Source organism: Homo sapiens, chromosome 15 (assembly GCF_000001405.40).
Source record: "Homo sapiens chromosome 15, GRCh38.p14 Primary Assembly".
NCBI lineage: Eukaryota > Metazoa > Chordata > Mammalia > Primates > Hominidae > Homo > Homo sapiens.
In genome coordinates, this window is record NC_000015.10 from 69,786,167 (window position 1) to 69,802,116 (window position 15,950).

The 15,950-nt window shown below is 48.7% G+C and overlaps 1 long non-coding RNA gene across 1 annotated transcript in view, besides 2 other annotated features; it reads left to right on the forward strand.

Moving 5' to 3' along the window:
- The window catches only part of LOC107984788 (uncharacterized), a 34,565-nt gene extending 34,218 nt beyond the window's left edge, over nt 1-347 (forward strand). The window contains exon 3 of the long non-coding RNA XR_001751592.3: nt 82-347. This is a non-coding gene — a long non-coding RNA (uncharacterized LOC107984788). The remainder of the gene's footprint in view (nt 1-81) is intronic.
- Nucleotides 8,129-8,631: an enhancer, noted in NCBI's record as "H3K27ac-H3K4me1 hESC enhancer chr15:70086634-70087136 (GRCh37/hg19 assembly coordinates)". NCBI's record gives its function as "activates a minimal SCP1, AML or CMV promoter by ChIP-STARR-seq in naive H9 embryonic stem cells {active_cell/tissue: H9 hESC(naive)}" and the evidence as "EXISTENCE:reporter gene assay evidence [ECO:0000049][PMID:30033119]".
- Nucleotides 12,273-13,472: an enhancer, noted in NCBI's record as "CDK7 strongly-dependent group 2 enhancer chr15:70090778-70091977 (GRCh37/hg19 assembly coordinates)". NCBI's record gives its function as "activates an origin of replication core promoter dependent on BRD2, BRD4, P300/CBP, MED14 and CDK7 cofactors, with strong dependence on CDK7, by STARR-seq in HCT116 cells {active_cell/tissue: HCT116}" and the evidence as "EXISTENCE:reporter gene assay evidence [ECO:0000049][PMID:35650434]".

The following is a 15,950-nucleotide window of genomic DNA, read 5'->3' on the forward strand; positions in this document are numbered from 1 at the left end:
TAGCCTCGTGGCCGTGGACTACCTTGGCTAATGGCCAATGGATCTACCTCCCATCCTCAGGGTTTATTTGGCTTTCCGCAGGCACTGGCGACTGCCCCTGGCTGCCTCTCTGAATTCATGTCACATCACAACAGCTTGCCTGGCACTTGTTTCCTCAGTTGCTGTTTCCTGGAGCTCCTTCCATCAGGGTGGGTCTTTCTGACCTGCAAGTCCCCTCCATACCTCATAAGCCTTGGGCAGATGCTCAGTGAGTATCCACAGTATGGACGAAAAATGATTCAACAGCTTCCTGCACCCAAACCAGGTCAGACCATCGGGGCTTGAGGAGTATTACAGAGTGGCAGGAGTAATAATAGCTAACATTCTCCAGGCACCCCCAGTGTGTCCAGCCACTATACTGAACACTTCACATAGGTGCTCTCATTCACTCCTCCAAACGACCCTGAGAGATAGGATTGAGGTTTCTGTTTCACAAGTTCAGAGAAGTCAGATAATTTGGCCAGGGTCACACAGCTGGTAAATGCTGAAGTCCAGACACAACCCAGCTCTGTTTGACTCTAGAGCCCAGAGTTAAACATGTGATCATGGGAAAAATGGCAAGTGTGCAGTTGAGAAGGCTCTGGACACTGCCTCAACTCAAAGTTACTCAAGCTTAACATCCCCTGCAAGGGGTGAATGGATGGGCCCCCAGTAGACTGCCCTGAGAAGGACTTGGCACCCTGTCTGTGATTTTCCTGCCCAAAGTGCATGACTTGAATTTAATCATGAAGAAACAGCATCAGACATGGCCCAAGTGAGGGACACTCTACAAAACAGCTGGTCTGCAGTCTTCACAAATGTCAAGGTCATGAAAGACAAAGAAAGATGCAGGAACTCTTCCAGAGTAAAGAGACATGGTGACCAGATGCCAGGCCTGGTCCTGGAAGGGATGGTGGACCAGAAAGGACTCGAGAGGGACAATTGACAAAACGTGAAGGTCACCTGTACACTAGCTCATGTCTTTGTTAAGTCTCCTGAGTTTGTGGATGTGGTTGTATGAGAAAATATCCTTGTTTTTAGGAAATACATGCTGAAGCCATTCAGGTTAAAGGGAATAATCATGATAACAGCAATCATGATGGGTATAAATAGATAGAGATAAGGCAAAAGTGGCAAAATGTTAAATTGGTGAATCTAGGTGAGAAGTATATGAGAGTTTGTTGTCCTATTCTTGTAGTATGTACTTAGGTTGAAAAAATTCAAAATAAAATTTGGAAAAAAAAAACCCTGATCTTTCCTGGAACCAATGTTTTAAGCTACAGGGAAGAGAGTAAGAATGGAGATTCCTACTTACTGGGAACCTGCTATGTGCTGGGCACATACTTAAATATTTAGATGTCTACAGGGCCCCTAAGAAGTAGTGTTGCTTGTGGCCATTTTATAGATGAGGAAACTGATGCTCAGGGACGTGAAGTAACAAGCTTAGGGCACACAGCAGGTAGTGGCCCAGCAGACCTTCATGCCAGAGGCTACCTGATCCCACAATCTCTCCCCTACCTCTGGGTAGAGGAGTAGTGCGGGAAGGATGTTGGGGGGATGATGACCTTGACTTCTGGTCCCAGGCTGGCCACCATGGGCAGTAAAGGACAGAGACCACAGCCAGTGCACACCACTCTGGGGAGATGCCCGGTCCTTCCATACATGTAGCTCCAGGGAGCAGCCCTCTTGTAACCAAGGCTTACTCTGAAAGCAGCTGCCATGTGAAGGAAGGAGCAGTGTCCCCAACCTGGTAGGAGCTCAGAGCAAGTTGCTCAAACTCTCTGGGAGAGACAAAGGCTGGCAACTGGGTCTGCATCTCGGCCCACCTGCCAGGAGGTTGTTGGGGAGGGGGAGAGTTGAAATGTCTGGGTGGTTGCCAAAGAGCCTACTAGGGGACAATTTCTGTTCCCCCACTGCTCTTGGGACCGAGCCCCTCTGTCCTGTCGGGGGGCTCTCCATTCTTCAGGGGCCTTGGGTCCCAGTACTGGGTGCTGCAGGCCCCTGTCGGGGAGCTCAGCCTTCTGAGCTGCATATACCTGCCTGGCGCCCCTCATCATCACCTGCCTGGGTGGGGTGGGGCCATGCAGGTGCCTTTCATAGCAGGCTCTTTGCACGTGGATCACTGACAGGCAAATAGCAGCACTATGCATGGGAGGTGGAAGGTCCTCTTCCTACCCTCAAATTTTCCACCCCTGCCTGTCATAGTGCCTGAAAGGCCTCCATTGGTACCAGGTCTTTTTTTTATTTTTATTTAATTTATTAAGTTTATTAATCTGTACTCAATTTCTTAAAGGCTTTTTTATTTCCTTTTAAGACAGGGTCTCACTCTGACACCCAGGCTAGAGTGCAGTGGAATGATCGCAGCTCACTGCAGCCTCGGCCTCCCAGGCTCGAGTGATCCTCCCACCTCAGCCTTCCAAATAGCTAGGACCACAGGCACACACCACCACACTCAGCTAATTTTATTATTTTTTCTAGAGACTGGGTCTCCCTATGTTCCCAGGCTGGTTTTGAACTCCTGAACTCAGGCGATCCTCCCACCTCAGCCTCCCAAAGTGCTAGGATTATAGGCATGAAACATCGCACCCAGCCTTGGTACCAGGTCTTTTAGTTAAGGCAATGAAGGCTTCTGCTGAGATGAAATACACTGCCCAAGGTGGGGAGGATTCATGGGAGAAGGGCTCCCCAAAGCCTCCTCCTCCCTGTCATCCTCAGCTTCTTTGTCTGTAAAATACAGAGAATCATAACTCACTGGGCTTCTAGGTAGAATTTGACCTTGGTGAATTCCTCTTTCCATCTGCAAAGGGAGGCGGGTTGGATTCACACAGGTTTCTTATGCATTAGAATTGCCTGGGGAGCTTTGAAACTATCACTGCCCAAGCTCCAGCCCAGATCCCTTGAGTGAGATTTTTCTAGGAGTGGGACCCCACATCAAGATGTTTTTGTAAATTGCCAGGTGATTCTAATTTGAAGTCAGACTTGAGCGTTGTGGGAAAATGATTTCTTACATCTCTGAATAAGGACATTTCATGAACCTGCGTGTAGTAAGCCTGCGACAGTTTGGCCCCAATTTATGGTACCCCACTAACTTCCCTGGAATTGGGAAGCCTAGGGAGGAATGGCTTGGTAGGGGTGTGGGAGGCTGGAGCTCCTTGGAAGTACTAGAGAGATGTGTTCAGAGCTCAGGGCGGGGCAGATTCAAGGATGAGGGGCCTGAGGAGCTCACGGACTGTCAGATAGGCAGTCAGGATGGGCTTGGTCCAAGGTCAGGGGTGTTTGCATAGTTCAACGATGTAGAGTTGAACTTTGTATAGTTCAATGTGCCTGGCACATAGTAGAAGCGCAAAAAAACATCTGTTGAAGAAAAGGATGAAGACCCAGGCCCGATATCAATCAGAGGACGATGCACCCTTCAGATGCTCCCTTTTATGGTTGAAGCCCGCTATTTCCCACTGAGGCATCAACTAGTAAAATGACATATTTTATCATCTTAACAATCCTTCAAAGCAAGTATTACTGTCCCCATTTCACAGATGTGCGGACTGAGGCTCAGGAAGTTTAGGTAACTTGCTCAAGGTGGCATGGTTCTGAGAAAGCAGAGCTGAGTTTCACAACCAGGTCTGGGGACCCCAAAGCCCGCCCTAGTGCCTTGGTCCCGCCCTCAGACCATGTCAGGGTAGGAGGGTCCTTGGAGACCAGCGCATGCCTCCTCTCGTTTGGGCACAGAGGGAGCTTAGCTTTGCAAGGTGGCATTGGGACGTACCCAAAGCCCACTGCCAGGGAGTGGCCCAGCCAGGACCACCAGAAAGTCTTTGGACTTCTAGCCCAGTGCTTCCTTGGGAGGCTTTTATTGGGAGGTAGAAGATACTGCACTGATGTTGGGATTTTGGTCCAGGTAGGGCCAGCCTGGGCTCAGCTGTGAATTAGATGAGAGTGTTTTTGGTCATGCACTCCTGCCACTTCTACTTTCCCACATCCTCCTTTTCCCTCAGAGCTCTCACCACCACCACCCCTGATCCCACGCACATCCTGCCTTCATGGTGCATCTGAATCAAAGACCCCTACTATGATGACCAGTGCTCCAACAATCTCTTCCCAAGCTACTGGGGAGAAGCGTCCGCTAAATGAATTCACAGAAAAAAAGCCAACAACTACAACATTATGTAGCAACCTCTATTTAACCAACAGCTCCAGAAGATTGTGGCACCTTACCCTCACAGAATAAAGCCCTGATAGCAGAACTTCGAACACCAGTAGGTTCCTGGAGACAAATGCTGGGATGGAGTCAATGGAGGGGAGATGTGCACTGCAGTCTGAAAAATCATAATATTGTAAAACCTCAAGCCGCCCGTGGCAATCTCTTTCTCCAAACTTAGGTTGGAATGAGCTTAAAGCATTTCCACAGTGGTCACCTGGCTTGGTTACCTCTACTGTCAGGGAGCTCACTACCTCACGAGGCAGTCCATTCTGTCTTGCCAAGCTGCTCACAGCTTCATTGTGTAATAGCTAGCATCGCCTGTTATTTCCCAGTACTCTACTGGTCTATCTGAGGGTGGCTGGCTGGGGTTGACTGTGCTCCAGCTGCAACAGGTGTGCATGTCTCCCTGTGACAGCACAGAGTCAGCCAGGCATCCTTACGCCGGAGCGCAAATATTTGTCGCCTCTCCATGGTGGCGGCAGTCGGCCTACCTTATTTTTCCACGTTGGAAGGATCCTATTATAGCAGGTCTTGTCTCGAGTTACATGTCAGAGTTCTCTGACATCAGGTTGTATTTAAAGGCTCAGCGCCGGGACTGTCCCCTGCCACACCCCACCAGCCTTGGCTGGCTTTATGTCCCCATTGGTTTCTTTTGGTCTCAATTGAGTGTTATGCACCATGAACGGTGGTGACACAGGTCTGTGACCTGGCCCTGCCCTGCAGTGGTACACAGCACTGTTTGGGAGAATATACCTGCAGCAGAGACACCAAACCAAGCAAGAACAAGTGAAGGTCATATAAAGCAACTCTGTAACTATCTTTTCATGGTGTTCAGCACACTCTATACTGGGGCCAATAAAGTTAAATCAAACAGAATTCAGTGCATCAAGATTTGGTATAGGCAATAGGTTCTGGGCTGGGTGGTGTGGCATGGAAGGGCAGATATCATGGGTTTTAAAGAGCAGTTAGAAGTAGTTATGCAAAGAGAAGTAGTTCAGCTGCTGTAACTGAAAGGCCAAAACAACAATGTCTTAAACACAACAGAAGTGTATTGCTCCCCCGATAACAGTATTAATTTAAGCAGTCCAGGGCTCCTACGGCAGTTTCATGGTTTTGGAGACCCAGGCCCCATCCACCTTGTTGCTCTGCCATTCTCAATCAACAACCTTCACCATACGGTTCAAAACGGCTGCTCTAGAGCCTGCCATCTCATCACTATTCTAACCTACAGGAAGAGGAAAAGTAGAAATTGAAGAAAAGTCATTCCCATTCAGGACAGGCTGACCCAGAACTGGTACGTGTGACTTCCAAACATATCTCATTGATAGAACTTCTTCTTGCAGCCACTTCTACCTCCACAAGGAGTCTGGGAAATGCAGTCTTAAGTTCTATCACTGAGGGGCATGCATGGGGAGAGTGCATTATCAGGGGTAACCAGCCAACTTTGCCACAGGGAGGAGCCAATCCCAGGCATCCAGAAGACTGGAATGAACTTGGCTTGGGCATGTGGGGATGAGGATCTGAGTCTGCAAGGAACTCGTATAGGGCATCTCAGAGGAAAACCCTAATGGAGAAGTGGTGGACTCAGGGTCTTAATTACTAGGCAGGGCTCCAGAGATGATAAGGGGACCTTGCTGAGCATGGAAGTGAACTCACAGAATTCTGCGCCTGAGCTTTGGTTTATAAATAGACCTGCTTCTGGTAGGTTGAAGTCTTTAAAATTGTACTCTCTTCTAAATTAGCCTGGGGGAGAGAGGTCAACAGGGGTTTGCAGCTTTAAAAAACCTTGTTAGTCCTTTTGCAACTCAGAGAGTTCTTTGGTCAAAGAAAGAGTTACTTGTCCATTGATCTTTTTTGTAAATCCCACATCTGGTACACCTTTTTGGGTACAAGATTATACACCTGTGTGATGACTTTTACTGCTGGGAAGGATCTGCTGGGGATATTTGTTATCTCATTTTATCCTTACATCAATGTTATGAGATCAGCGTATGATCCCTGTTTGAAAGACACAGAAACTGAGGCTTAGGGATTTGTCCAAGGTCACCCAACCCCTTTTGCAGTGAAGCTAAGCCTTTTGTCTCTTTCCACTGCAACTCTCAAGAAGCAATTGGCTATCTGTGGCAACATGTCCAAAAATATGGAACGGTAGAACACTAGACCTTCACATGGACCTATGAGAGAAAGAAACAAATCTGTGGTCAAATAAGACTGGGAAATGAGGCATGTTTATCTAACTCCTCTCGGAGATTCACAGAGCACAGGAGAATACTGATGGTTCTGATGAATCCTGCAGGCTTTAAGTCATTGTTGGTTTAAATCATTGTTTAAATGTCTCTCTCTGACAAGGTTCCTCCAGCTGAAAAGGGTAAGAGGTTGACGGCTAGGTGACTCCAGGTAAAGTCTTGGATTGTCTGACCAAGTTGCTTATCATCTCTGTTGGGGTTTTGGGGAAAGGATAAACAGCATTTTGGTACTTCTCCCACTTAGTTCAGAACAAATTGGGAGATTGCTGGAGGGGTCATTCAGATGAAGATCAAAATATCAGCACCTCTGACACGTGCTACTCAGACAGGGATGCTCGGGTCCCTGGGAGGATGGACTCAGCACATCTTCTGAGTCAGCTTGGCTTAGCCTTTTCCTCCCTGACGCAGAGCCAACAGGCTGATTGCAGGCCCACCCTCAGAGGCTGGGCCCAGGGCACCTCTCAGCAGGCAAGCAGATCCCCTGGGGGAAACTCAGAGCGGCAGAACTCCTTCACCCAAACTCACCATTCAGGTAAGTTGCTGCTTCTCCCAACATGCTCCCACCCCTGGTTTCCTTACTTGGCACATAGAATTAATGAAACCCATTCTTTCTGTCTACAAAGGTTGTTAGCGGGGTGCCACAAAAGGCAATGGGGAAATACACTGAAAAATATAAACTGTTAAATTACTTTATTCAGGTATCAGTTCTCATACTCTTCTTATAAGGCTGATAGTTATGTTAAATGATTGATTCATTGATTCATTCATTCATTCAACGAAGATCTCATTTGTGAAGCACAACCTAGGTGCTGGTAGACAAAGAACAGCACTTCTGCTCAAGGAGAAAGAAAACGTTGAACTCCTATAGCCCAAGCTCCTGTCTGCAGACGAGGAAGCAAAGTTCAAAACAATCAGGGCCTCCCCCGGCGGCTGGGTTGGCTGGGGCGACAGAGCCACCACTCACCCCCAACTATGTCATGCTCCGTCCCACCTCTGTGCCTTTGCTCACTCTGCCTGACACCTCAAAGGCCCTCTCCACGTCTCTCCCTCCACCCAAATTCTGCCTATTCTTAGAGACTAGCTCCAGACCCGTTTCCCTGATGAGCCATTATATATTTTGGTCCCCCTTTGCTCGGAACTCACTGAGCCCTTACTATCTGCTGTGCTCATCTTAGCACTTGATTTTCTCCAATGGTTTTATGGGGCTATGTGTCATCTCCTCACTTACTGCCCTCTGCCCTGTCTTGGGTGCAGGAGGGGTCAGGGAGGGCTGTTTGCTGATGGCCTGCTGATGGATTTAGCCAGCCAGGGAAGGTGGCAGGCTGACGAGGATCTCATTTTCCCCTCTCGCTGACATGTTCCTAATTCGGCCTTATGAGATTTTTCTGAGATGTCAGCTGTGCTGTTTGGAGCTGGGCTGCAAAAGGCAGTATGTCCAGTGGCAAGGGGAATGGCACGTGGGAAGGGCTTGGCAGAGGGCAGGGGTGTCTGCCGCCTTTCCCAGCCTCCAGCAGGGTCTCGGAATGTTCTGGCCCACTTTGGAGTCTTAAAAGGACATGTTGGGATAAAAAAAACACTTACAGAGATTTTTGGAATGTGGGCCACAGAGAGAACATAATAGAAGGCCAAGGCTAAGGTCCTCCAAGGAGAATCACACGAGACCTGAGGGGGCCTGGGGCCGGGTGCGTGAGGACACATTCTCATGGGATGCCATCTCATAATGAGTGCCAACAGGACAGCTGGCCCCAAAGTGGCATTCCCCAGAAATGACTGCACTGCACTGGGTTTTGTCTCTGTGGCCTGTGACAGACCACTACCCTGTGCCTCAGTTTTCTTGTCTGTAAAAAGGGACAATTGGACTTCATCAGAGGCCACACATTAGTCTCAGGTGCTTTCTTTTTAAATTTGAATTCTTTCTATATTTAAAATGGGAATGTTTTACATTATCATTGTATTTTCTGGCTGTTCTTAAAAAAAAAAAACAAAAACGAATGTCCAGAAATCCTGCGCCTGCTCAGCAATCATCTGTGTGGCAGTCATCCCCCAAGTCCTGGCTTTCCTTTCCCTTGATGTGACCTTGTGTTCCCCTTGGGCATTCAGGCTTGTCCCCAACCCTTGCCCTGGCCACACACTTCCTGGGGTTCCTTCCAGCGTGGGCATCTGTGGTTAGGAGTGGACAGTGGGACGGGAGCTCACTGGGACAAGCAGTGCCTAAGGGCCCGGGCCCTAGGTGCTTAGCACGGCGCCTTCACTACCCACTGAGTGACCCTGGGGAGCCACCTCCCCCGTGCTTTCATTTTCCTCATCTATTAAAAGAGGGAGGTGGTTGAAACCATCAATAAGATCCTTTCAAGCTCTCACTTTTGATTCAGGCAAAAATGCCATTTGCCTGAATGAAATGGAACTGTGATTTCAATGCTGTGGAATGTGGCCGTCCCAGCCCTTGAAAACTTCATGACAGAGAGTGAGAGAGAGAGGAAGGAAAAGAAGGAAAGGGGACCCTAGCTAGTAGTGAGGTCTGAGCAAGTATGTGGCTCAGGCCGACCTGCTGAGACTGCTGGTGGGGTTGAAAGAAGCAACCCAGTCTCCTGGAATTCCTTCCAGGTCAAGGTCTTGGAATGCCTCCAACCCCACCCTTTCCAGAAGCCCAGGGCTCTAGGTTAAAGCTGAGGGTGTACAAATCAAACATTCACAGGGGTGGAGGCACAGCCAAATTTTTGGTGTACTCCGTGCCAATGGAGACTTCCTAATAAGTAGCCAGACTGAGGGAGAGTGTTTGGTCATCACGTGAGCAGGAGGGGCCTGCCCTGGGTGTCAGGAGACTCTGCGGTCACTCCAGCTCTTTCCTAATTGCTATTATTTTATTTATTTGGACTTCAATATTATTGACACCTCAATATTATAAAATAAATATTATTTTATTTATTTGGACCTTATTTATTTCTCATTTGTCAAACGAGCTTGAAGCAAACAAGTAATCGAGTCAACCTGTTCTATCTGACTCCTAAGAGGAAAAACAGGAGAGAACAGAAGCCAAATTCTTGGAAAGAAATGAATGTCCCACCAGGTGGCTTGTGGCGTTTCTTGGGAGAGTCCTCTCTGTGGTTTCTGTATCACATTTTCTCCGGGACAGTCTCACTGGCTCAGTACCATTGGGGGCCTGCCTGGTTCAGCCCCAGCAGACAGAGGGCTCCTTACTAAGCCTTCCAATCAGAGGGGCGCCCGCAAGCAGACAGAGACCTGAAGAAATACACACCACTCAGGGACTCAGCACAACCCACACACTGCTAGCTCTGTGGTCTCCTTAACCTGTACAGCATCCTCCCTGCCTCGGGTACTGAAGAAGGTGGGCAAGATGTCCCCTAGCTGCTGGGGAGGACCCCCAGAATCTTGACAGGCCTTGGGAATAGAGCCCTCTTCTGCAGGCAGTCCTTGGGAAGCTGGACACAGTGAGCTACAGAAGAAGTTTAAAGATCTGTTAGAGGCACAGATGTATCTAAATTCACAGGCAGTACTGTGAAGAGGCCTAGAAGGATGCTGGATTTAGGGGCCTGGCTTTGAAGTCCTGTCCTGATGACAGGGTACTGGTGGCCCATGATTTCATTTTCCTGAAGCCCCAGTTTCTGTACCTGTGTAATGGGGAAACACGCCTGCTGGCCCCCGCACAGCATCGTTGTGAGAAGAGATGGAAGAAGGTAGCTTTCAGGCTGGTTGGATAACTGCTGCCAATGGGAGCATGGAGTTGAGCAGCTGAACTTTTTTTTTTTTTTTTTTCAGACGGTGCCTGTCAGTCTCATTCTTGTTGCCCAGGCTGGAGTGCAATGGTGCAATATCGGCTCACCACAACCTCCGCCTCCCAGGTTTAAGCGATTCTCCTGCCTCAGCCTCCCGAGTAGCTAGGATTACAGGCATGTGCCACCACGCCCAGCTAATTTTTTTTTTTTTTTTTTTTTTTTAGTTGAGATGGGGTTTCTCCAGGTTGGTCAGGCTGGTCTCAAACTCCCGACCTCAGGTGATCAGCCCGCCTCGGCCTCCCAAAGTGCTGGGATTACAGGCGTGAGCCACTGCGTGCCCGGCAGCAGATGAACTTTCAATCGGAGCAATGGTATGATGGAAATGCCTGGGTAGAAAGGGGCTGAGAATGGGGGAGGGAAAGAGAATTGGCTGGATGGAGCCCCTGCCCCATCTCTGTCCCAAGGAGGCTATCAGTAGGGGAAGTAAGAGCCAGGGCTCTGGGCTCTGGAACCAGGCTGGCCTAAGTTTACATCCAAGGTCCCGAGAAGCTACGTGGCCCCAGGCAAGCTGTTGTACCTCTTTCAGCTTTTATTGCCTCTCTGTAAAATGGGGACAATATTCAGACCTCACAGAGTAGTTTGCAAGCTTAACGTGAAAAGGGATAACATATATAAAATGTCTAGTGCAGAGTCAGCACATCATACATGTAGCTGCTGGTATTTTCAACAACGTTTTGCTGTGGCTCACTTCTTCCAAGCAGGTAGTTCTAGGCAGCCCCCAGCCTGAGGATGGGTCCTGGCCCACAGGGAGGATGTGAAATGCTTCCTGGCTGAGGCAAGAATGACTTCAGCATCGGGTTCTGCCCGTGGCTGGAGCTCTGTGCTGCTGCCCTGATGGCTTCCTTGGTGTTGGGGTATCTGTCCTGCCTTGACCCCTGGCCCTGGCATCCCTCATTCCTGACCTAACCTATTCCTTCTTGACTCCTGGGCCTTGCCTCAACCATCCCCTTTTCAGCCTGCCTTGGTGGTGAGTGAGAGGAACTTGGGATCCAAGGCCCTCAATACCCTAGCCTTGAAGGAATCCGTGGAGGCTTACCGGTCTGTATGAAGCCAGTCTAGGGCTCCCCGAGGTGGTGCCTGTCCTATATCCCCTAATTTCCACCCTACAGGCAGAAATGAACTCACAGCTGATTTCTTCCCACCTGAAATTGCTCCTGCAGGCAACCCTAACAGGATCACTTTGAATCCCTGTGAGCTGCTCCTATAGCATCATGACCAAGGGCACAGGTCAGCTCTGAAGCCAGACTGCCTGAGTTTAAAATCCCAAGCCCATGACAATCTAGCTGTGTAACCTTAGGTCAGTGATGAAATTTTTGTGCATCTCATTTTCCCCACCTATAAAGATTTACCACATAGAATTCTCATGTGAATTAAATGAGATAATACAGTTCTTGGCACATAGTACATGCTCAATATATTCATCGTTATTTTCACTCCATTCCTCTGCAAATATCCACCTTAGATTTATGTCCAAATCCCTTCCCACCATCCCATGTTGGTGCTTCTTGGAGGGCGTGGTGCTCCCATGAACTCTCAGTCCTTAGGCCTGAATTTGAAATGTCTGGAGACTGACCTGGAGAGAAAACGAAGGGTCTGAATAATTGAATGGGAGGGATCCACGAAGGCCAGAGAGTGCGCTGGGGCAGCTTGTCTCCTTCTCAACTGCATTCACTCACCTGGATTGAGAAAGCAGAGATGCTGCCAGCTTGGGTAGAATAAGACCTCATCCTAAGGTCCCTCCCTTTGGATACACCACTCTTTCTCTCTGCAAGAAAAGAGAGAGAAAAAAGGTGAATTAAGCACACATCTGAGCCAGGTATGAGCAAGAGGCTGTTTCCGGGACCCCTTCTCCCTCTGACAAGCATCTAAGTTTCTGAGTAAGGAATTGCCCCAAAGACCCCTTTCATGTGCTTAATCCCCTTCCTAACTCAGACCCCGTGTAACCAGAGATACATGTTCATGCATCACCTCTGTCCTCAAGTTTATATCAGTGGCTGCTTCTATCTGGTGAGAAGGTAGAGGGGAGGGGTGGCCTTCTTGTGAGGCTCCATGCCTCACAAGTGCGGCAGTGTGGAGAGGCTGAGCAGGCTCGGCAGGCCAGCAGCACCCTGGGATGGCAGGCCTGGCAGGGCTGGTGCCATGGCAGCTGGCTTCAGGCCCACATCTCCAGTGAAGGCCTCAGAAAGCTTCTGAGCCCACATGAGGTGACTGGACTGGCTGCAAGGAGCTGTGTGAGTAGGAATTGGCCAGGAAAAGTGAACCCCCATTGGGCAAATTCTGGTCCCAGGCCTGGCTGGATCTTGCTGTGGGTGAAAACTGACTCTCTGAGTCTGGGCTGCAGAGAGAGAAAGAGAGATCAGTGAGATGGAGCTTCCCCAAAGGCGTGCATGGCTTCATCACAGCAAATCCTCAGGACGCCCAGGGAGCGCTCACTTCCCTACAGCCTTGTTGACACAGAACATGACATCCTCCTTCTCTTCCTCCCTTTTCATCTTTGCCAAGGCCATATCATTGTTGTTTTACTTTGCGCTTGTTTGGTTTTTCCTGCAGTTGTAAGTATTTTTTCCAGGTTTCTTGGCCACTCCTGTGACTTCTGTGAATTGCTTGCTCATCGAGACTGACCTTTCTGTGCTTGTTTTTGCTTTCTCTTCCCTGGATGAAGTAGTTCCTGGCTGAATGATGACTAAGAATTGGGTGAGAATGTGAGCATCTTACCTTCCAATGAGGTTCCTAAGATGGAAGGAAATGGGCCAGTCAGCCTGAAATTCTGGGAGTACATGAGTCCCTACTCCCTACAGGAAGAGGGGAGGGATAGTTTTCCTTTGAGAGTTTTATTGGGAGATTGAATAACCACTACAAACAAGTATCATTGGCTGAGCCAAATGATTCTGGTGGTTTTTCTGATGCCTAGATTCCACGAAAGATGGGGAATTTGGAGGCCCAACTCAGATACGGCTCAGCTTCTAGACCTGAGCTCGGACCTGCCCTAGAATTAGGGTAGGGAGACTCAGAGTCAGGGAGGCAGAGGAAAAGCAGACTCTCTCTGCTCCTGGAGCAACTGTGACGACCCCTCCACCTGGAGCCTGGCACGCCCCCATCCCAGCTCCAGGCACAGCTGTGGCCCCCTGCACATTTGCTGTCCGTTTACCTTTCCCTTGAAGTTTTCCTGTTTCAGAAACGTGGACCACCACAGCTAGAGAGGTCCTTAAAGGTCTCCCGTAGTCAGGACAGGAGCTGAGCAAAAAGAGAAAAAGTGAGAACTAAGATGAGCTCACATCCATATGAGCACATTAATGCACTTGTGTGAAAAGTTAAATATATGCATGCAGTATATCTAAAAACAAAGTGATTATTATTTTTCTACAAAATATTTCCTTCCTCCAAATTGTCCTACTAGACCTGTTTGTTAAAGAATGGTGATGTGGTGTTGGAGACTCCATGTGTGCATCCTCCCGAAATTAATATGCTGAAATCCTTATCGCACTGTGATGGTAGTGGGAGGCAGGGCCGTTGGGAGATAATTAGGTCATGAGGGCGGGACCCTCAAGAATGGGATTCATGCCCTTGTAAAGGGACCTCAGAGGGCTCTCTAGTTCTCTTTCTGCCATGTGACTGCAGCAGTCTGCAACCTGGAAGAGAGCTGCCATGCCAGAACCCTGCCATGCTAGCAACCTGATCTTGGACATCGGGCCTCCAGCACTGTCCGAAATAAATGTCTGCTGTTTTTATAAGCCACCTATTCTATGGCACTTTGTTACAGCAGCCCAGACTAAGACATAGGGGATGGGAATCTTTTCATCCACCCCTATTTTGCAGAAGGGGAAACTGAGGCCCTGAGCAGGTACACAATTGCCACACACAGCAAGTGGCATTTGATCCTGAATTTTCTGCCTTTGAATTCAGGTCCATTTCTATGATATCTGGCTCCAGTAATTGTACAGCCTGGAGCTGCTTCTTGCCTATAGGAAATATTCTTCAGGATTGAATAAAATAAGTCAGAAAACAGGCTATGTTAGCAAATGCACAGTCAAAGGGGTATTTCCATTTCACTCTGACCTCCTTCAATAGGTCACCATTTTCAACCTGCTGGAAAATTGTCCTTTTTTCCTTTACTTTATGTATTTATATGTATGTGTATATATATATATACATATATATATATATACACATACATATACACACACATATGTGGGTGTGCATGCACATGCACATTTTGTATATGGTATAAATATGAAATTGTATATTTGTATAAAAAGTGTATACATGAAATTATATACACACACACACACACAGATGAAACTTTGGGAATTTCTTTTCAAGCCTTGTATGCAATCACTGCAAAGCTGACACACATCACAGGGAGTAGAGTCAGGCAGAGAGAGAGGGGTTTAAGGGTGTTCCCAGAGCTGGTGTCAGAGTGAAGACTTAAGTACAGTTCTGGAATCTTCCCTTCTCACTGAGATGCCTCAAAAGACTTTTTTTTTTTTTTCCTTAGAAACAGAATGCTAGCTTTCTGACAGGACTACCCACCCGTTCCAGCATATTCTCCCTCAGGTTCTCTCTTTCCACTCTCAAGGTGCTTAGAATCTTCCCAATCTTGATCACTGGACACAGCTTTATCCTTTCAAGGTGCTTTTCCCCTGGATGTCTCATTGGGATGTCACAGTGTTCCTGGGGGCTGGGGACAGGCCCGGGGATGCCACTTCCACAGGGGCTGATACCCTGAGATGTCAGGAACGCTGACAGTCACCTAGCATGTCAAGGTCAGAACTTTAAGACTTCTGACTCCAAAATCAGTGCTCTCTGCCCCTCTCCAGCAGGTGTGTGGGTGGGCGTGGGAGGTGGCTGGGGAGGTGGTGCTGAACTGCAGCACTCAGCAAGCTTCCTTGGAAGGACCATGCAAGGCCGAGCTCCGGGTGATGCCCAGGCGGGGGAGGGATGGGGAATGTGCGGAAGCCCAAGCTCCCCAGCCACTGCAGACAAGCTGGGCGGCCCCTCCAGTAGCGGCCATCCTCCACCCCTCCCTAACTCTGTGGACACATCTGCTGGCTGAACCCAACCTCATCAGAACTGTGGGGGTTTCCGGGGTGATAAATCTTTATTTTCCAGGGTTGTCCTGAATGTGCTACTCTGCTGAACAAAACCATTTCTTCATGGGGTGTTTCTCTTAATTGGCTGGTGGTGCTGCCTGCCCTTGGCAAAATCAGGAGGACAGTTGTCTTTGCAGCCTGCTCACTCCCTTTGGCCCGAGAAGCCCACCCAGTGTCCTCACAGTGCCCCATTTCCCCCACTCCTGGTACCTTGTATCAGGCTTTAGGACCCCCACCCCGGCCAATGCAGCCACTCTCAACATCTCACTACATCTCCAAGAAGTTGCAGATAAAGATAAAATTCACAACAAAACCAAAAACTGAGCCTTGCAGGTACCAAGTGCCAGATTCAGATGGATGTCTTGGAACAGATAGCAGTCCCAAGGCAGGTGAAGCTGGACTGAGAAAAACGTAGTCACAATTCAGCTCACAAGAGTTCTCCGACTCTCTTCATACACTGAGGACCGCTGTGTCTCCGGATACATCCCCCATGTCCTTTTCACCATCATGCCACTCTCTTTCTTTTTGATTATCCTTGCCAGAGATTTCTCTATTTCACCAGTCTGCTCAAGAAATAAGTTCCAGCATTTGTATCTCAACTCTT